The sequence below is a fragment of the Homo sapiens genome, chromosome 7 (genome assembly GCF_000001405.40).
Source record: "Homo sapiens chromosome 7, GRCh38.p14 Primary Assembly".
In the NCBI taxonomy this organism is placed as follows: domain Eukaryota; kingdom Metazoa; phylum Chordata; class Mammalia; order Primates; family Hominidae; genus Homo; species Homo sapiens.
In genome coordinates this window covers 158595514-158617835 of record NC_000007.14, presented here as the reverse complement: position 1 = coordinate 158617835, position 22322 = coordinate 158595514, and the positions used below count along the sequence as shown (strand labels likewise).

At 45.8% G+C, this 22322-nt stretch overlaps 1 annotated feature.

Moving 5' to 3' along the window:
- Nucleotides 20412-20911: an enhancer, noted in NCBI's record as "H3K4me1 hESC enhancer chr7:158389617-158390116 (GRCh37/hg19 assembly coordinates)". NCBI's record gives its function as "activates a minimal SCP1, AML or CMV promoter by ChIP-STARR-seq in naive H9 embryonic stem cells {active_cell/tissue: H9 hESC(naive)}" and the evidence as "EXISTENCE:reporter gene assay evidence [ECO:0000049][PMID:30033119]".

Below are 22322 nucleotides of genomic sequence, written 5' to 3'. Positions count from 1 at the left end.
TCTGGTTGAAAGCCAGGGTGACCACAGGGCTCACAATCTTGCATGCTTGCACCCAGTGTCTGAAAGCAGCTATTTAATTGTTTTGTCCATTTTTCTTTTTTCTTTTTTTTTTGAGTTGGAGTCTTGCTCTGTCGCCCAGGCTGGAGGGCAATGGTATGATCTCGTCTCACTGCCACCTCCACCTCCCGGGTTCAAGCAATTCTCCTGCCCCAGCCGCACCCGCCACCGTGCCCGTCTAATTTTTGTATTTTTAGTAGAGGCAGGGTTTCACCATATTGGCCAGGCCCGTCTCTTGGCCAGGCTGGTCTCAAACTCCTGACCTCGTGATCCACCCACCTCGGCCTCCCAAAGTGCTGGGATTACAGGCATGAGCCACCGTGCCTGGCCTTGTTTTGTCCATTTTTGTAGTTGGTTACAGTGGGAAGTTAAATGCAATCCTTGTTACTCCATTTTGAACAGAAGTGGAAGTTGCTTTTCGTTTAGTTTATCTTCTTGGATGCATCTATTTTGCCTTCTTGGTTTACTCCCTTGTTTTGGTGGTGCACATGGTCCAGTTGCTTCCTGAGAAATGGGTTGTATGGAAAGTTAATTTTGGGAAATCTTTAATGTAAAAAATATGCTATTATACTTGCTTGCTAGTTTATCTTAGTATAGAATTCTAGGTTGGAAATAATTTTTCCTCTTACTTATGATGGCATTGTTTTATTATCTTTTATCTTTCAACAGCTGAGAAGTTTAATGCCATTTTGATCCTTAGTCTTTTCCCCACCTCTTTATCTGGAACTTTCAGAATCTGTTTCTTGTACCCACTGATCTGAATTTCCCTGGGATGTACCCTGAGGTGATTCTGTTTTTCAACATTATGCAGGTTACTCAGTGCCCTTTGTCACATCTTTGCATTCTAGGAAATTTTTTTAAATTACTTGTCTGATTTCCTTACCACCGTCTTGCTTTCTGTTTTTTCTCTCCATCTGGAACTTCTGTTGTAGTCTCATTGCTTCCATGTTCTCTTTTCCCAGCTTGTATTATCTCATCTCTCTGTTTCATATTAGAGGCGTTCCTTGAATGTCTTGTCATCTTTGCTCATTTTTAAGATCAGGGCACTAAAAAACAGAATGAAACTCTTGACCATGTCAACTATATGGTCGTAATAGGGTAGCCTGGTTAGATCTTTTAATCAGAAAACTCTTCCTGTTGGTAGTTTTAAGTCTTTTTCTCTTGGGCTGGCCAGATTGTTTTTGTTCCAATCTCCTGCTTGGTGAAGTGTCGACCTAGCAGCCGGTATTCTGGGTGCAGAGTGAGGGGAAAGAGGTACGGACTCTTCTTATTCAACAGTGTCAGTGTTTACTAACCCCCTGTTTTCAGTATGGTGCTGCACCCTCAGTTCAGAGAGCCTCTATCTCATATGCCCTGGAAAATAAATCTCTAGTTGCCTACCAGAGAGGGCATGGGGATCTGAGGCTCTGTTTACACCTTTACTTTCTCTTAATTTTATTACGGTGGAACATTTATCAGCTGCATGACAGGTTTATTTGTACCTTCATCCACTGCCCACCCACTGGCTGATTTTGAAGCAAGTCTCAGATATCAAATAAAAACACAGCCACAGTACCGCTATTACATCTAAAAACAGTTATGTAAGTAAGATGTTAACTATGTTAATAGGCAATTATGATAAAAATTGTGTAAGATCATCCCATATCTCAAATTCTTCAGTAGATATCTGTTCTTACAGTTTGCTAGCTTGAATGAGATCCAAATAAGGTTTATATACCAAGTGTCTTATGTTTCTTGTGGATTCCACTCCGTCGTTTTAAAATACTGCTGGTACTTGTTTTGTACACTTGTGTTTGTCCTGTGGGCTTGCAGAGGTGCTGATTGCATCCTTGCAGCATCATTTAACACGTTACTCTGTCTCTGTTTTTCCTGAGAGTTGTCGTTAAATCTTTATCATAGTTTGTACTTCTCAATTTGATTAAATTCAGGTTTGTTTTTGTTTGACAGGGTTCCTCATAGGGAATATTGGCTCCTCCCTTAGGATGTACCTACCTCACAATAGCCTCTCTTTTTGTGATGTTATTAGCTATTGATGATAATTACCTCGATCTGTTAATTCATAAAAGTTTGCAAAAAGTCATACTCTGAGAATTATATTTCTTTTTTATCAGCTGGAATATTTGGTTTGCTTGCCCCCTTGTATAGATTGTATAGGAAAGGAGGGGAATTATTTACCAGTATTCAAAAATAGTGAGCATCTTCAAAAAGCGACGAATGAGAATTGTTAAAATTAGTGTCATTTGATGAGTTTCAGTCCATCGTAGTTATTGTCCTTATTGGAGCCCATATTTTCTGGCCAGTGAGAGCTCATTCAGTTTGGCCTGTAGTCCTCATAATGTGACCCAAGCAGTTTTTGGGAGCCTCCCTGCTTCCTGATGTGTTGAGTAGTCCCAGGCTCCTCTTGTACATTTCGTGCACTAGACCTAGAATCAACTGTTTCTCCGAGGACTTATGGTTTGAGTGGAAAATGGCAGTTGGAGACCATGATCTGGCCTCTAGGAGTGTTATTGCTAACGGGTTGGTCATTGACCGTTGTTTCTAGTGCTTTTCAGTAATCAGAGCTAGAAGATTATATAAGTATACATTTAAAAAGTATACATATATAAAATTATGCATATAATTGTATGCATGAATTATTTTTATGATAATATAGTTATATGAAATTTTTGGGGATAAACATGTGAGTTCATACTGATCATTCCAGTTCAAATTTAGGACTTGAGAATTTTAACTTAACCTCATTGGTCTTAGCTGTTTATATCCTTTTAACTGAGCCAAAAGTCTGAGTTCTCAGTGACACCAATGTGATTACTCATTCGGTTCAGCAATACACTCACTGTAGTCTAAGAGTAACATTGCAAACACTGCCACCATCAATGTGATTCTTGAAACAGTTTAAGATTTTTTTGCAGTTCTTTTGACCTTAGGGGTATATCCCCTTAGGGAACACAAACACAGCTCTTTCTGTATGGCTGTTCTGCCCCCAGCTGGATACATAATCAGATATATTTGTTTAGTTTTACCACCAATTTGTAGGTGTTGTTTTTAAAATCTGTCTATATTTTTATATTTATATGGTACCAAACATCAAGTTTTCAAAAAGGTATATTCAAATAATACATATTTCTGAATTTCCAAAATAGGTAATGTTTTTTAAAAATGTATGGTTTATTCTTCTATTAAAAAATAAGCAGGCCAGCCGGGCGTGGTGGCTCACGCCTGTAATCCTAGCACTATGGGAGGCCGAGGCGGGTGGATCACCTGAGGTCAGGAATTCGAGACCAGCCTGGACAACATGGTGAAACCCCATCTCTACTAAAAATACAGAATTAGCCTGGCATGGTGGTACATGCCTGTAATCCCAGCTACGCTGGAGGCTGAGGCAGGAGAATCGCTTAGAACCTGGGAGGCAGAGGTTGCAGTGAGCTGAGATTGCGCCACTGTACTCCACCCAGTCACAGTGGCTCACAGCTGTAATCCTGCACTTTGGGAGACCGAGGCGAGTGGATCGCTGAAGCCAGGAGTTCAAGACCAGCCTGGGCAGCATGGCAAAACCCATCTCTACAAAAAAATACAAAAGTGTGAAAATTAGCCAGGTGTGGTGGCACGCACCTATAATTGCAGCTACTTCGGAGGCTGAGGTGGGAGGATCAGTTGATCCCGGGAGGTTGAGGCTGCAGTGAGCCATGATGGTGCCACTGTACTCCAGCCTGGGTGACAGAGCGAGGCCTGTTATACTAACATCCTTTCTTAGACAAATGGAAACATACCAGATACATTGTATTTTACCTTTTTTTTTTTTTTTTTTTTTTTTTTTTTTTAGTTTTTAGCTTAATATATTCTGGAAACCTCTTCAACCTGTAACATAACATGGAGCTCTCATTTTTTTTCACAGCAGACTGGTGCTCCCTTATGTGCATGAAGCAATTTATCTAACCAGTGCCTTGCGGAGACTTTGGGTGTTTTCACTTTTGCTTTTGCCATAGTACCGCAATGAACAGCCTTGTGTGTATTTCTTCTCAGGCCTTCACTGGTATATAATTGGGATAGAGTAATGAAAGAGATTGCTAGAGGACAGGAAGTGGATTTGTGATTTTTTTGCATAATTGCCTAGTTCCTGTCTCTAGAGGTTGCACCATTTTGCCTCTCATCAGCCATGCATGAGAAGCCTGTTTCCCTCAGCTTGGCCAACAGAGTATGTCATTGAGATTTTGGATTTTTGCCAATCTGATAGGTGAGAAATGGTATCTCAGTGTAGTTTTAATTTGCATTTCATGATGAATGAGTCAAACTGCTTTTTGAACAAACTCAGTGATTTTCCTTATTTACCGCCATTCTCAGCGTAGCTGAACAGACTCAGTGATTTTCCTTATTCACCACCATTCTCAGCGTAGTTGAACAGACTCAGTGATTTTCCCTTATTTACCACCATTCTCAGCCTAGCTGGTGCTACCCACTTCTGTCCCTGGGCCTGGGGACAGTTGGATGTGTTTTTCCTTGTGGGATTGCTCCCCCAGCTTAGGGTTTGGCTTTCCTTGAGTATGCAGAGACAGAGACTGCTCTGTCTGATTTCCCCTTTTATAATATGCGTGCTAGTATCTGTTCTCCCACTTTGTTCTTACAGGTCTATGCCTTTTTAAAAAAGCATTTCGTGTCTTACTGGGTTTTGCGGGTAGCAGAGGTAAATGCTTATGTTCGATCTACCCATCTTTAGTAAGAATCCAAAAGGAACTTCTGTGCTGAAAGCCACCACAAACGTCAGCTATTTTCATGATTAAGGGGGAGAAAACCCACTTCCAGGTCCTCCACAGCACAGTTCAGAACTTGGAGTAACAGTTGTGGTGGGCACTGCTGTTTGAAAGGGGCACTGCTTTTAGTTTTTTCCTCTGCTTCAAGTTGTGAATCAATTTCACTTGAATCAATTGTGGCAGTCAACACAAATCAATTCCAGGGCACGTGGCTTCAGCATGAGCGAAGTTCCTGGTTTGTGTGGATTCTTCTACTTGGGACTGGGATGAGTACATTTTGGGGGTGCTCCAGGGTGTTTTTTGTGCTGGGAGACATCAACTTCATGTTGCCTGGGACTTTCCCAGGCAGTAGCCTCCCACGCAGACCCCCACAGCCCAGTGTGTTGTCACATCCCAGGTGAGCCTCATCCTGTGGGAGTCACTGCAGCGTTGCCCTTTCTTTGAGTCAGAAAAGTAGCATGAAGAAGTTTTAAAATCTCACCATATCCATTTTTCTTTATTTTCCTTGTTGAGATGTGTGTTTTGTAGAGATAAGTTACCTTAATCATAACGACAATATTTTAACTTAGCCTCATTGATCTTATGTGTGTATATCCTTTCGAGATTATGTAACATGGCGTAGTGATATTTTTATGCTACCTTATCTGATATTATCACATGTACCCTTCACTTTTTTTGATTTGGTAACATCTCAGTAATGTATTCCGCCCAAGTTTTTTTCCCTGAAGAGAGCATTTTTCCTTAGGGAAACTAACCTTCAAGAACGGATTTAGCTAATTCCATAGTGTCCCACATGGTGATGAAGCTTAAAGTGTTTAAGTATAGTCAGTGTATTCTATACGGGTGTATCATGGGATTTATTTCCAAATGAAAAGTATTCTCACGTACTCTGATTTTAAGGGGCTTATGTCTGTGTATGCTGTAGAAGATGCTTAGTAAATGAGTGGGTTGTCAGGAAAGCCCCAAGTTCGGTCTTTCTCTTGGAACCTTTTAGCTGATAATCAGCATCCTTAATTCAGTTCTGTGCTCTGCTGTTGTTAGGAATAGGTGTGGTTTTGCTGCCGCTTTTGAAATGAGATTGGCCTACTATGACAGAAAGCCTGGGGTCCTCGACAGAACCTTGTCAGCACGTGTGGGGTTATTTAACTGACATCTCTAGCTTTTGGAAGTTGAATATGGAAGTGGCTGGTATACCCCTCCTCCCCCCTGTACCTTTGAGAACTCCAAAGTCTTGAAGACAGCGATGCAGATGCCTAGGTGGCAGCCACTGTCATCACGTTCGGGAGGAAACAGTGTCTGTGGTGAGCGTCAGCAGGTGCATCCTGGGAAAGGGCTGAGTCGTGGCAGCAATGCTCCATTCTCACAGCCAGGTCCCTTACCAGGGCCGTGCAAAGAAGCTGTGAGTAAAATAACTTTTTTGGATAGAATTGGAATTGGTTTTCCCTGGAAATATTTTTTATACACATTTTTTAGTACACATTTTTTATAGAAAGAGAAAAGAGGTACCTCTGACTTACATTTAACAGCTTCTTGCATGTCAGGAGCCCTTTAACTTATTAAAAGCCTCCTTGGATCTGCTTTAAATTACTGCTGATGAAGCGCCGACTGTGTTTTCATGTGATGAAGTCAGCAAGGATGTCCATGTTGGTGCAGAGGGTTGCTTCCTATTGAATAAGGAAAGTGAAAAATCTCAATGTAGCCCCCTAAGGCCATAACCCAGCCTTTCTGTCTCCTCAACTTGAGGCTGAAGAACACTGACATCCTATTGAGCTACAGTGTTAACAAATTTATCTTTGGTGCATGGGAGGGAAAACAGCAACTCAACTTTTGCTCCTGCCTTCCAGGCCCTGGAATAAGATTACTTTTCCCACCCCACCCCAATCTTTCTGAAAACTAGCTGTTGGAAGTATCTCAGTGCAAACAGGGGACATGTGTGTCCATGCACGTGTTCATCTGTGGGTCGCAGCAAAGGGGGTACACTTGCTGTTTCTGTTACAGCTGTCAGGCTAATGCTGGGCATGCTTCCTAACTTCCCTGTGGGTTTCTTATTCTGTAAAGGGAATGGATTGAACACGTATGAATCTAAGAAAAATCAGAATTCAGTATTCGTGAAGCAGTGATTTCCAAAAGTTGTGGTCTCATACCCTGTATTAGGGTTCTGCAGAGAAACCAGTAGGAAGGGTGTGTGTGTGTGTGTGTGTGTGTGTGTGTGTGAGATACTTGTATTAGGGTTCTGCAGAGAAACCAGAAGGCAAGGTTGTGTGTGAGTGTGTGTGTATAAAGTGAACTGGGCTGGGTGTGGTGGCTCACGCCTGTAATCCCAACACTTTGGGAGGCCGAGGTGGATGGATCACCTGAGGTCAGGAGTTCGAAACCAGCCTGGCCAACATGGTGAAACCCCGTCTCTACTAAAAATACAAAAAATTAGCCAGGCGTGGTGGTGCGCGCCTGTAATCCCAGCTACTCTGGAGATTGAGGCAGGAGAATTGCTTGAATTCAGGAGGTGGAGGTTGCGGTGAGCCGAGTTGCACCACTGCACTCTAGCTTGGGCAACAAAAGTGAAAATCCATCTCAAACAAAACAAAACAAAATAAAACAAAACAAAAAGAGGAGCAGTTATGAAGGCTGAATCCTATGGTCTTCTTTCTACAAATTACAGACCCAGGGAAAGTTGCTGGTGTAGATTTCACTCTGAGCCTGAAGGCTTGAAACCAGAGGCAACCAATAGCAGAAGACGACCGATGTCCCAGGTCAGCAGTCAGGCAGAGAGGTAGAATTGAACCTTCTGCTGCCTTTTTTTCTATTCGGGCCTTCAAGAATTGGATGAGAGGCACGAATATTGGGCAGGACATCTGCTTTTCTGAGTCTCCCAGTTCAAATGCTGATCCCTTACAGAAATTACCACAAAGACACAAACCACTCGCTCACACTTGCCCCTAAGACACACTCCCCACTAAAAACACTCCCCCTTTACACACATTGTCCCCTCACAGACACTCCCGTCACACATTAACCTCTCACACCCCCCCACTTACTGACAGTCCCCCCTCACTCCCTCCCCAACACTCCCTCCTCACACACACTCCCCCTCACACACACTCCCCCTCACACATACTACCTCCTCACACTGCCTCACACACACTCCCCCCACAAACACTCCCTCCTCACACACACTCCCCCTCACACTCCCCTCACACACACACCCTCACCCACACTCCCTCACACTCTGCCTCACACACACTCCCCCTCACAAACACTCCCTCCTCACCCACTATACTCACATACTTCCGCCTGAACACATCCTCACATTTCCCCTCACACACGCTCCCACTCACACACACTCCCCCCTTATACACGCTCCCACTCACACTCCCCCTCATACACACTCCCCCCCACGCACACTCCCCCTCATGCACACTCCCCCTCATACAAACTCCCGCTCACACACACTCCTCCTCACACATACTCTGTCCTCACACTTCCTCCTCACAAACACTCCCCCCTCACATGCGCTTCCTCCTAATACACATTCCCCCCCCACACTCCCTCCTCAGAAACACTCCCCCCACACACTTCCTCCTCACACACAGTCCTCCTTCACACACACTCTCTCCTCAAACTCCCTCCTCACACATTCCCCCTCACAGACACCCCCCCCCACACACACACACGCACTCCCCACTCACAGACACATGCCTCTCACAGAGACATTTCCCCACGCTCAGACACATGCCTGTCACAAACACTCCCAGAATCATGTTTGATCTGAGTACCCTGTGGACCGGTCATATTCACAAAAAAGTAACCATTGCACACCCCTTTGTAGTCTAGAAGCATTGAAAACCCCAAAGAGTTTGTTTCTGTGGTTTGCATCAATCAATATTTAATGTATTAGAAATTAAAGCTGAGATATTTAAAACATTTATTAAAAAACAATAAATCTATTACCTGCTAATATTATTTTTTGTTTATGGACAGGGTCTTGTTGTGTGGCTTAGCCTGGAGTGCCTGGTGCCTCACCCTCCTGAGTATCCGGAACTATAGATGTGAGCCACCATCCCCAGCCCTTGCTAACATTCTTTATGAATATGTGTTATTTTTCAAAACTGTATTTTCCCAAACAAAAGTAGCTAGTGAGCAGGGTGGTATTGTCTTACATATTTTCAAATTTCAGCTTAATTCTCACATCTGTTTCTACATTCACTCTATTGTGATTTATTGTTTTGGTTGAAGTTTATGAAGAAAATCCCGCCTCACACAGATGTATATTTGGAGAGTGCAGAAGTATTTATTAGCCTTTTAGATAATTGTGGATATTCTTCTTTGATGCTACATTATGTGTTGGCACTGGGGATTCCTTAAAGTTAGTTCAGTGTGGAATGTGAAACCATCAATAAAATTGCCACCGTCTGTGCCCCTAAGATCTGTCGGTGGACCTGCACTTCACATAGATATTTTACTGTTTGTGGTTCTGTAACTGTTCATTGGGGAAGTATTGGTTGCCTGAGTTATGCAGCTCTCCCAAATGTTGACACATTTTGTTATAAAATTTTTTAAAATTACATTTGTTAATATCACCACTGATCTCAGAAAAGTCTTTAAGTTTTGGAAATCTATCAAGCTCACATCATCAATACATGTTTTCCAAAATTCCAATTTTTGCTGGAAAGCTCAGTGTTATCATTAGCAACAGATACTGTCACTTGTTCTTGAACTGAAGGAGTTGTTTTTTGTTTGTTTGTTTTGAGACAGAGTCTTGCTGTGTCGCACAGGCTGGAGTGCAGTGGTGCGATCACGGCTGCTTACTGCGGCCTGGACCTCCTGGGCTCAAGCGATCCTCCCGCCTCAACCTCCAGAGTAGCTGGGACTACAGGCACGTGCCACCACACCTGGCTAATGTTTGTATTTTTTTTAGAGATGGGTTTTTGCCATGTTGCCCAGGCTGGTCTTGAACTCCTGGGCTCAAGTGATCTGCCCACTTTGGCTTCCCAAAGTAGTGGGATTACAGGTGTGAGCCACTGTGCCCAGACCTGATTTTTTTTAAGTGCCAAATGCCACCTATGAATAGCTGCAGATCACCTTCCAGCACCCTTACAGGGAACATGGCAGCCCATGAAAAGTGGTGGGTTCAGCCACAACGCACATCATCCAGATTATGGTAGGAATCTTCTTGGGACAAATTCCTTCCTTCAGTTACAGCAGAGGAATTTCGTACGTCCTTCCTTGATAACCAAAAAGACGTGCACTCAGGGTCAAGCTTTAGTAAGTTGATAATTTTATTTCCTCATCAAAGATATGCTTAAGCCAAACTGACCTTGTGTTTTCTGTGGCAAGGGCCATGGGGAACAGGATGCCCGTAGGTGCGGTTGCTGTTGCTCCCAGCTCCCACCCTGCTAGGTCCCTCCATTGCCACAAATGCAACCCAGTAAAGAGCAGACAATGCATTACAATAATTGTGAAGGCAGTTTCTACTTTGCGAACCCCTGAAGGTGTTGTGGAGACACCCAGGGGTCCGCGAACCACTTTTGGAAGACCATGGATGATTCTTCCCATCCCAGGAACTCATCTGCAGGTGGAAGGGTGGAGGGTGAGGGTCGGCATCTGGAAGATCCTACGCCTCTGTGAGCCAGCACTTTCCCCATGAGCAGTGGGAGGTTTGCTGAAAGTGTTGAGCGTCTGGGGCAGGTGCATCAAGGCTGGGCATCTCGTGCCTGCCGCACCATCTAGGAGGGACGAAGCCACTGGCACTTTCCTCCCGCTGGCCTGGGCTGATCAGCAGTACTTCAGCTTGGCGTTCATCTCCGGGTGGAGCTGGAGGCCACTGGCGCTAGCGGGCTGCCCTGGTCCACTTTCCTCCCACCTGGCTTCTGAGTGGGAAGCCAGCACTGGGTGTCTTGGGCCCACGTGTCCTCAGTCAGTCTCCTTCTACGTCTCTGCTGCCTCTCCCCTTTCCTGCTCCATCCTCCATCACCTTACCTTCCTGACGTGCTCTGTGGACCAGAACCTTGATTGCTGACTCTCAGAACTTCATGGATGCCAACCCACCTGGGGCCTGGGAACCCAAGGGGGCTCTTCATGGGGGTTCATAGGAGAGAAGCCTCTGACTACACAATGCTGCCTCTGAGGCCAGCCCTGCCTCACAAAAGGGACGTTCTGCAGCAGAGACAGAGTCTTTGGTCTCACTGCCTGGGGCTGGCTTGCATTCGCTGCTCAGGACTAATGAGAAACCTGTCCATGGCACTTAGGTGCTCAGCACCTTTCTCACCAGCGGGATCCCACAACAGTCCACAAAGTCAATGCCGGCCCACAGGCCACCTGGCTGAGCTCAGAGCCGCCACCTGGCCCAAACCAGCCAGGTGTGTGGTTCCTGTCTTTGGAGGAAGGTCATTGTTTTGAAAATCATGATTTTAAAATTAAATGTGATATTTTCTTCAGGAAAGCCTAGAGGAAGCCTTGTGTTTGCAGGCTGCAGAGGCCATTAACAGGCACCTCCTGGGATCGTTGAGATGTCTACACAAACGTCATGGGTGAAAGATGGCAACACAGTGATGGCCTTTATTCTGTGTCTGGAAACTCCAGCCAGGAAAAGGTTCAGAGTGCTAGGAGGCTTCAGGCTGGAGAGAGCGCTATGCAATGTTGCCTCACTAATTATCTGGGTTTATAGCACATTCTGGCCTTAAAGGAGGAGGAGGCAGCATTTTCAAAGGCTCAGAAAGACTCCCTGTCCCACAATTGCTCTCTTGCCAATGCCTGAAATTCTTTGTTAGCAACGTATTGCTCCAATCTAAGCATGGCTGTCTCTCCTAGGTCTCCTTTTACAAGTGCAGTGATTCTGAGAAAACACTGAGTGGCTGGAGCTTCTGCTGAACGGTTTAATCAGCTCCCCATTATTTCTGCACTAGGAGGAACCTGGGTCCCAGCTGGTACTTGGGGTACAGCTGGCCAGGTAGGGTGAGTGGGGGTCCCCTGCCCTCTGAGGGGCAGACAGTGTGGGCTCCAGATGATGGGCTTATGTTCCAAGAGAAGACAGAAGCCTTAAGTTTTGTTTGAAATCCTCTGAATTTTATATGTTGGTAACTGATTCTTTTTTTTTTTCTTTTTAAAATTATTTGTTTATTTATTAGAGACAGGGCTTTGCTCTGTCACCCAGGCTGGGGTGCAGTGGCACCATCATAGCTCACTGTAACCTCAAACTCCTGGGCTCAAGCTGTCCTCTCACCTCAGTCCCCAGAGTAGCTAGTACTACAGGCATGTGCTACCATGCTTGGCTAATTTTCTTATCTTTTGTAGAGATAACGGTCTTGCTGTATTGCCCAGCCTGGTCTTGAACTCCTGGCTTCAAGTGATTCTTCCACCTCAGCCTCCCAAAGTGCAAGGATTACAGGCGTGAGCCACTGTGACCAGCCAGAAGTCACTTCTAAGATCAACTTACAAAATACTGTGACTTCCATCTCCCTGACATTCTTTTTTTTTTTTAAAAATTATTATTATACTTTAAGTTTTAGGGTACATGTGCACAATGTGCAGATTAGTTACATATGTATACATGTGCCATGCTGGTGTGTTGCACCCATTAACTCATCATTTAGCATTAGGTATATCTCCTAATGCTATTCCCTCCCCCCTCCCCACACCCCACAACAGTCCCTAGAGTGTGATGTTCCCCTTCCTGTGTCCATGTGTTCTCATTGTTCAGTTCCCGTCTATGAGTGAGAACATGCGGTGTTTGGTTTTTCGTCCTTGCGATAGTTTACTGAGAATGATGATTTCCAATTTCATCCATGTCCCTACAAAGGACATGAACTCATCGTTTTTTATGGCTGCATAGTATTCCATGGTGTATATGTGCCACATTTTCTTAATCTAGTCTATCATTGTTGGACATTTGGGTTGGTTCCAAGTCTTTGCTATTGTGAATAGTGCCACAGTAAACATATGTGTGCATGTGTCTTTATAGCAGCATGATTTATAATCCTTTGGGTATATACCCAGTAATGGGATGGCTGGGTCAAATGGTATTTCTAGTTCTAGATCCCTGAGGAATCGCCACACTGACTTCCACAATGGTTGAACTAGTTTACAGTCCCACCAACAGTATAAAAGTGTTCCTATTTCTCCACATCCTCTCCAGCACCTGTTGTTTCCTGACTTTTTAATGATTGCCATTCTAACTGGTGTGAGATGGTATCTCATTGTGGTTTTGATTTGCATTTCTCTGATGGCCAGTGATGATGAGCATTTTTTCATATGTCTTTTGGCTGCATAAGTGTCTAACTGATTCTTAAAAACTCAAAATTCCAAACTCCCTGCCAGTCCCGATGAGAACTTCCTGGACTGCAGGAAATGCAGGAAGAGCTTTCTGAGAGAGCAGCACCAGGGAAGGCACCCGACTCACAGCTTGGAGCACTGTGACATGCTGCCACACATCACCACATGCCGCCACACACCACCACACGCCGCCACACACTGGAACCCGAAACACAGACCCTTTGCGGGTGCAGCCCAGGCTGGTAGATAAGGAGGGCTTGTGTGAAAGAGTGTTTTCCTCCTGCTGAAGGACGAGGGGCCGGCCAGGGGAAGAGAGTTCCAGAAGCAGGGACAGCCTGTGGGGCCCTTGGCAACTGAAAGCCTGTCCTGCCGGATGGTGTCTCAGAAGCACGTCTTAGTGCGGAGCATGGGGAGGCTCTGGCCAGGCTGAGCTCTTCATCCACGGAAGATGAAGCCTGCATGGCTCAGGCAGAGGCGAGAGGTCCCCTGGGCTCCTCTGGGTGGGCTGCAAGCCTGGGCCAGACCCCTGGCTGGGCCTTGGAGATTTTCAGGGTGAGCTGGGCTCTGAGCTGCAGGACAGCATCTGCCACACGGGAACTGGGGTGGGGCGGGGATGGAGCAGGTGGGTGTGGGGCAGAGGAGGAGGCAGAGACCTGCCCAAAGAGGGGCAGACCTGGGGGTGCTGAGGCGGTGCCCCTTAGCCACCAGGAGGAGGCTGGGCAGGTGTCATTGGGCAGTGGGCCCCTGAGGGTGGGAGAGGCGCGCTGCGATTTCGATGCTGAGAGAGGAAGTTGAGGAGAGGGCAGCCTGACCAGGCGTCCTGTTTGGTTTGAGTCCTGACAGTAAGCCGGAGTGTCATAGCCTGAGACAAAGCTGCAGTCTGCACCATGACTCTGCTGAGAAAAGGAATAGTTTCTAGTGCTTTCTCTTAATTGGGATAGAAAAAGCAATTTGTTAGATTCTTAGGTACAAGCCTCAAACCAGGGATTGTACTGTGTTAATTTGTCCAGTAAGAATCCCAGACTGGAGGAAAGTGGCCCTCGTATCCACCACCTGCTCCCGCTGTGCCAGACGAGTCATTCTTGAAGATACACTGGGGCCAGGCCGGTGACGGGAATCCCCACTGGCAGCGTTCAGTCATTGTGGTGTGCAAATTTCTGAAATACCAGAAAAATTGACGTCACTTGAATAGAAATTTACACTACAAAATACACTGATATTAAGCACAGTTTGATGAGTTTGAACAGTGTGTTCAACCACATGACCTGTGCTCCAGTCAAGCTGGGGAACGTTTCTGCCACGCCAGGAAGCACTCGCCTGCCCTTTCCCACGCGACGCACAGTATTCAGGTTTCTGTCTCCATGAGGTGGCTCTGTCTGTTCTCGGGCTTCGTGAGGGAAGCGCACAGTAGGCACTCGTGTCTGCTTCCCTCACCCAGCACACTACTGTTAAGATTCACCCATTTGTTGCACGCATTAGTAATTTGTTTCTTTTCATTATAGAGCAATATTCCATTTTTAAAATATACCACAGATTGCTTATCCATGGTCTTGCTTTTGATTTAATATTTAAGTAAGGAGGGAGAGCTCTAAGACGTCACTTTGCTCTTCATGCCTGAATAGGTGTTCTTCCTATTGGGGAACTGAGAGGTAGTTCTGCACAGTATTGAGGGTTAATATTCCAACCACACACCTGGGTGCCTGAGAAATAATGTAGCATAGGCTTGGAGGCCCACTGTGACTGGAGGACATTGCGGTGTCCTGCCTCGCAGGGGCTAGAATTAGTCTGGTCTTTGTCCTAGATTTCCTGACACCCTTCACGCCAGCCTTCCCAGGCCCAGGCTCTCTGGCAAATGGCCACAGACCCTTTGGGAAAGGGAAGGGAGTTAAAAGAGCGCGTGCTGGTGAAATGATCTGTATCCTTCCTGAAGCCCCAGGCTCTGTGTGTTGGGTGATTCCTTAGGAAATGGGTGAGAAGCTGTAACTTCATTGTTAGGCCTAAGTGAGACCTCACTTGCTAGGCCTGGAGTTGCTCTGGTTATATTGACCAGGTAAGCATGTGGTAGACTGCCTGGCTGTTTAGGTTCTCGGCCCTGGGGCTGGTGAGTAACCCCTGGAGACTCCTGTGGGTCCTCTTAGTTGTCAGCTGGCAGTGCCCTCGTTGCTTCAGTGGTTAGCGGTGATGCCTGGTCTCTGTGCTCCGGGTGGAGACTCCCATAGTTCCTCTTGGTTGTCAGCTGGCAGTGCCCTCGTTGCTTTAGTGGTTAGCGGTGATGCCTGGTCTCTGTGCTCCAGGTGGAGACTCCCATAGTTCCTCTTGGTTGTCAGCTGGCAGTGCCCTCTTTGCTTTAGTGGTTAGCGATGATGCCTGGTCTCTGCGCTCCGGGGTCTTTCTGTCCTTGTTGAATCAGGCACTGTTTCTTCAGTGTTCGCAGCACCTGCTGCCCATGGGGAGTGAGCACTGGGGTACCTGTTGGGGATGGCTATCTCCTCACTGCTTTATTTCCCAAAGTTTTATAGTGGGAGCGTCTTCTGGGTGCCCATGACACATTACCCTGAATGCCAGGTTTCCCACTGCCATCCCAGTGAGGCCCAGACCTCGTGGGCTAAGAGAGACCTGCCGCCTGAGTCCTGGCAGACTCCTGGCCTAGGGCTTTGTGGGTGTCATCCAAGGGTGGATTTGGGAGAGGTTAGTCAAACACCAGTAAATAATGCCTTTAAGTGAATGTGATTTCCTCCGTCTTACACATTTGGCATTAGGAACATGCCTCAGAATATGGTAGCTGCTGTAAATATGATGTTTTCAATGCAGAAGACAGATCTGCAGGAGCCAGGCTGTCTGGGCAACCTTGCTGGCTCTCCCACTCAGTAGAGATGTGACTATGGGCCGGTTTGTGAAGTGGAGATAATAATGGAACATCCTCCTTGGGTTGCTGCGAATAGTAAGTGAATTAATGCTTGAGTAAACCTTTCAGAACAGTGTCTGCACAGAGGGGTAGAGTAGAGATAATCAGCTCCAATTCTCACTTTGTGGTTTTTCATACTGCATTTTCATTAGTGATTCCTGGGGTGCACGAAAGCCACCACTTTTTGCATGTGTGTTTTGTATTTGAACTTTTATGGGATGTGTGTACCAAGTTGAGGACCATATTGTCGTCAAATATGAATATTGGGGGCCTGCTACCAACCGATGGATCGGGAAGCATTCCGGTGTTTCAGCAACTGAAGTGTCCATGTGTCCGCATGCTGGCTAAGGTTGTTTCTTGTAGATACTGTTTTTCAGGTATCTGAAGAGTTTCTGTTGGAAAGCTAGCTAAATATCCTTCAATAATGGAGTATATCATTTAAACACAGCCTGTCTGTACTAGGGAATATTATGTAACCTTTACCTGAAATGAGGCAAACATATCTATACTGATAACAAAAATATCTCTAAGTCATATGCAAAGTAAAATTTTTTAAAAAGCAAGTCAAAACAGTACAAAGAGTATGATGTCATTTATTTTAAAAATGACATTTGAGCATAAGCAACGTGTTTGGGTAAAACTGCTGATGGTTCTTACTTCTGGGAGAGGACTGGGAAGTGGGGGTGCAAGTAAAGGAACTCTCACATTTTCCTCTGTGTGTTTCTGTACAGACTGAACATTTTCCAAATGGGAATGCAGTAGTATTATTTGTATAATAAAGAAGAATTGAGCATTTAATTCAAGAAGCAAGAAATAGAAAACTAAAAAGGGAACAAATGAGTAAATATGTGAGGATACATTTATGAATTTAAAAAACTCCCAAAGATATGATTAAATAAATGAGTAAAACAACTAGAAAACTTCTAGAAAGTCTGGCAGAGAAAAGAAAAAGAACACAAGTAATTAACATCTGACAGGAGGGAGGGAATGTGTTCCAATACAGAGGAGAGGCAACACGAGAGAATCGCCGGGAAGAATCAGAGGGGGTTTGCGCTACCCAGCATTGAAGGGTGTATTAAAAAGCTACAGTATGGAAGTGGTTAGGAATAGGCAAATAGGCCAACGGAAGAGAACGAGAAGCACAGAGCACACACACTTACGTGGGTTATTTGTGTATAATGAAGTCATCCCAAATAAATGGGGAATGACAGATTTTCACTAAGAAAAGTTAGTTCTCTACCTTATATAATGCATAAAAGAAATATTCCAGATGGAATACAAATCCACATGTAAAACTAAAACCATTCAAATATCAAAAGATAATGATTTGACAGGTAAAGAGCTTGGAAGTTATCACTGCTGTCCCCACAACAAGAAAAAAGCTCAGCAAATGGAAAATCAACAACTCTTCTCAGATCCATCAGAGAAATGAGGTCATGGGGCAAACTGCTATCCTGAAAACTGGAGAGACAGGTGAATGCAGAGAATCAGAACTTACCTGAGAAGCCAGGAACAGAAGCTGCTGCTGGAGCCAGTACTGTCAGGACACTCACAGGCCAACTGACAAATGTAATTAGCACAGAAATGAGAAGCCAGGCATGGTGTGCACCTGTAGTCCCAGCTACTTGCGGGGCAGGGGCAGAAGGATCTCTTGAGCCCAGGAGTCTGAGGCTGCAGTTACTATTTTCAATTACTAAAGCAGTTTTTTAAAAGTATAATCCCCACTTCTGGAAAATGATGGTGTAATTGGTATACATTGTTTTAGGGCAGCATTAAACTGGTTTACATTAGTACATGATGACACTGAAATACATATTGATACATATCCATTGTCATAAAAATGTTCACACCTATTAACTAAAGAATCTCAGTTTAGAGTATTTTGTCTAAAGAAGATAAACATGTTTTAATGTTGCAATCGCCTGACTGTAATTTCAGGGTTTGGGGTTCTGGGAGCATTGGGATGGCTTGAAGCCAGGCTGAAGTTCACATGGGGCAGCTTTGCAGGGACTGTTCCACCCCTGCCCACGAGAGCTCCACACTCCAACTCCTTCGTTCCCCATACGCAGTCTCTCAGGGTCACCGTCGAGGCCAGGAAACACCACCTTGGACAAAAGTGGCCCTAACATTGACTTCCCTCCCTGGATATTTCATCTTATCTGAGTCTTAGGGTGATCTTTAAATATCTTGTAAGCTTTTAAAACTTTTAGGATGATTGCCTTCTCCCCCATATGAATTTTAGTTTACCAAGTTCTAGAAAATCCCATGCAATTTTGATTGAGATTACATTAAAGTTATAACTAATGAGGGGGAGGAGGATGGTTTTTACATTAACTTCCCAGCCATGAGCATGGCATCTCTTTAATTAGTTTTTTAAAAAAGATGTGCTTCGGCTGGGCGCGGTAGCTCACACCTGTAACCCCAGCACTTTGGGAGGCCGAGGTGGGCGGATCACGAGGTCAGGAGATCGAGACCATCCTGGCTAACACGGTGAAACCTCATCTCTACTAAAAATACAAAAAAGTAGCCGGGCATGGTGGTGGGCGCCTGTAGTCCCAGCTACTCGGGAGGCTGAGGCAGGAGAATGAAGTGAACCCAGGAGGCGGAGCTTGCAGTGAGCCGAGATCGCGCCACTGCACTCCAGCCTGGGTGACAGAGTGAGACTCCGTCTCAAAAAAAAAAAAAAAAGATGTGCTTCATGGAAGTTTTCTTTTTTCTCATAAATGTCTTCGTATTCTTTATAATGTTTATTACTAAGCATGTAACAATCAATTTTTTTTGCCATTGTTAATGGAATTTTTTTTTACTCTTGTGTTATCTAACTAGTTATTGCTAGGGAATAGAAAAGTTAATTTTTTTTTTTTTTTTTAGATAGGGTCTCACTCTGTTGCCCAGGCTGGGGTGCAATGGTGTGATCACAGCTCACTGCAGCCTCGACCTCCCTGGCTCAAGCAATCCCCTTGCTTCAGCCTCCCAGGTAGCTGGTAATACAGGCTTGCGCCACCATGCCCGACTAATTTTTGTGCTTTTTTTTTTTTTTTTTGAGACGGAGTCTCTGTCGCTGAGACTGGAGGGCAATGGTGTGATCTCAGCTCACTGCAGCCTCCGCCTCCTGGATTCCAGTGATTCTCCTGCCTCAGCCTCCTGGGTAGCTGAGATTACAGGTGTGCGCCACCACACCTGGCTAATTTTTGTATTTTTTGTAGAAACAGGGTTTCACCAGGTTGGTCAGGCTGGTCTCAAACTCCTGACCTCAGGTGATCCACCTGCCACGGCCTCCCAAAGTGCTAGGATTACAGGTGTGAGCCATTGAGCCCGGCCTAATTTTTATACTTTTTTGGTTTTTTTGAGACGAAGTCTTGCTCTGTCACCCCAGGCCAGAGTGCAGTGGCGTGATCTCAGCTCACTGCAACCTCTGCCTCATGGGTTCAAGTGATTCTCCTGTCTCAGCCTCCCAAGTAGCTGGGACTGCAGGCGCACACCACCATGCCTGGCTAATTTTTGTATTTTTTTTAGTAGAGACGGGGGTTTCACCATATTGGTCAGGCTGGTCTTGAACTCCTGACCTTATGTAATCCACCCGCCTCAGGCTCCCAAAGTGTTGGGATTACAGGCGTGAGCCACTGCACCTGGCCTATACTTCTTATAGAGATGGGTTTTCATCATGTTGCCCAAGCTGGTCTCGAACTCCTGGACTCAAGTGATCCTCCCACCTTGGTCTCACAAAGTGCTAGGATTACAGGCATGAGCCACTGCGCCCAGCCTAGAAAAGTTAAAAATCTATGTTGATCTTGTATTCAGAAAAATTAGTGTTTTTTTTGAGACAGGGTCTTGCTCTGTCATCCAGTGCAGTGGTGTGATCTCAGCCCACTGCAGCCTTGGCTTCCTGGACTCAAGTGATCCTCCTGCCTTAGCCTCCCAGGTGGCTGGGACTATAGGTGCGTGTCACCACACCCGGCTAATTTTTGTATTTTTTGGTCAGGGTTTTGCCACGTTGCCCAGGCTGGTTCAAACTCATGGACTCACACGGTCCACCCACCTCGGCCTCCCAAAGTGCTGGGATTACAAGCGTGAGCCACTGTGCCTGGCTTATGTTTAAATATATTTTTAAAATTAGAGAAAATAGTACAACCAATCTCATTGATCTTCACCTTTTGTTGTTTTTGTTGCTAGAATATTATTTTATAGCAAATCCCAGACTTTACCTAATTTGACCCACAAATACCTTAGTTTGTGTCTCTAACAGACTGTTTTAAAAAATAAAACATTTTGGCTGGGCGCGGTAGCTCATGCCTGTAATCCTAGCACTTTGGGAGGCCGAGGCGGGCGGATCATGAGGTCAGGAGGTAGAGACCATCCTGGCTAACATGGTGAAACCCCGTCTCTACTAAAAATACGAAAAAATTAGCAGGGCTTGGTGGCGGGCGCCTGTAGTCCCAGCTACTTGGGAGACTGAGGCAGGAGAATGGAGTGAACCCGGGAGGCGGAGCTTGCAGTGAGCCGAGATTGTGCCACCGCACTCCAGCCTGGGTGACGGAGCAAGACTCCATCTCAAAAAAATAAAATAAAACATTTCAACTTAGCAAAAGGTGAAAAATTATCACATAACAAATTTCTGTTAAATGCTATATCAAATATAAATAATAGGCCAGTGTGGTGGCGCGTTTCTATAATCCCAGCACTTTGGGAGGCCAAGACAGGCAGATTGCTAGAGCTCAGAAGTTACCAGCCTGGGCAGCATGGTGAAACCCCATCTCTACAAAAAAAATACAAAAATTAGCTGGGTGTGGTAGCACATGCCTGTAGTGCCAGCTACTTGGGAGGCTGGCACATCAGGCCATGTTCCGGCCACAGGTTGTTGCCTCCAACCCGCTGAGAGCAGAGCTGGCTGGAGAGCTGACGGGAAGCTCCACGGTGTTTGCCCCTGGTCTGGGGAAGAGCCTGCTTCCAGGCAGGCCAGATGTTCTCCTCCTCAGGCTTAGTGGCTTGTGGGTATAGCAGGCATGGAGTGAACTGGGCAGTGGCCAGCCTCCTGGGGAGGCACAGATGTTGGTGTGAATGGCCAGGAGTGGGGGCAACTCCCAAGACTCTGGCTTGGTTTTTCTATTGCTTTGCCAGGAGACCTGTGAGTACTGTCTAGAACATTCTGAGAAAGTCCCATAGAATAAGATGTCTTCCAGCAGATTCATTAACCAGTGTGCCGGGAGAGTATGACTTTTGCTAAGTTGCAATGCTGGTGAGGTGAGATTATCACAGGTTGCTTCTCCCTCCCTCTGCCTTAGTAAAAGAAGCAACAAAATGCCTCAGATGCCAGACACCTCTGCACCCACACCCTGAATAATAGCCAGTCACCTCCCCGCTGAGTGGGCTGGCTGCCCTCCCAGCTAGGGTTAGGAGGCCTCAGAAGTGCTGGCTTCAGGCTAATAGAATCCACAAATGGAGAATTCGGTGAATTGGGATGGCAAGAATGGGACCTTGAACTCTGGAGTGAGACCGAGTGGATTTGAACCCTGAACCCAGCACTTACTGGCTGTGGGGGTCTTGGGAAGATGATTTAGACCTCAGCCTTGGTCTCCTCATGTGTGGAATGTGAATGAGAATGGCGCCTAACTATTGTCATAATCACTGGCACCTAGTCAGTGCTTTATGGAATTAGATATTTTTCTTATGACCAATGGCTGGACTGTTTATTAATAACAGTAAGACTGAGGCCTGCCGACTTACATAGGTCACCAAGTCTCTCAATGCAGGTGACTGAAAGGGTCTGGCAGCTGGGCCCACAAAAGACTTTATTGGAAGGTAGGGAGCCCCCAGAGTCAGGAAAAGATGCAGATGCAGACCTGAGCATGGGACTCAGGCCTCGGCACTCATTGGCAGTGACGCGGTTTGTATCTGTGTCCCCACTCAAATCTCATGTTGAATTACAATCCCCACTGTTGGAGGTGGGACCTGGTGGGAAGTGACTGGATCGTGCAGGTGGTTTATCATGGTTTAACACCATCCCCCTTGGTGTGGTCTTGGCAGCAGTGAGTTCTTGTGAGATCTGGTTGTTTTAAAGTGTGTGGCACCTCCCCGTCTCTCTTTTCCTCCTGCTCCAGCCACGTAAGACGTGCCTGCTCCCCCTTCATCTCCCACCATGATTATAAGTTTCCCGAGGCCTCCCCAGAAGCACAGGCCACCTTGCTTCCTGTATAGCCTGAGGAACTGCTGGTCAATTAAACCTCTTTTCTTTGTAGATTACCCAGTCTCGGGTATTTCTTTATAGCAGTGTGAGAACGAACTAATACAGGTAGGCCCGGGTGCTGCTGCAGGCCTGAGGCAGCTCTGGTCATCTCCTCCTGTGT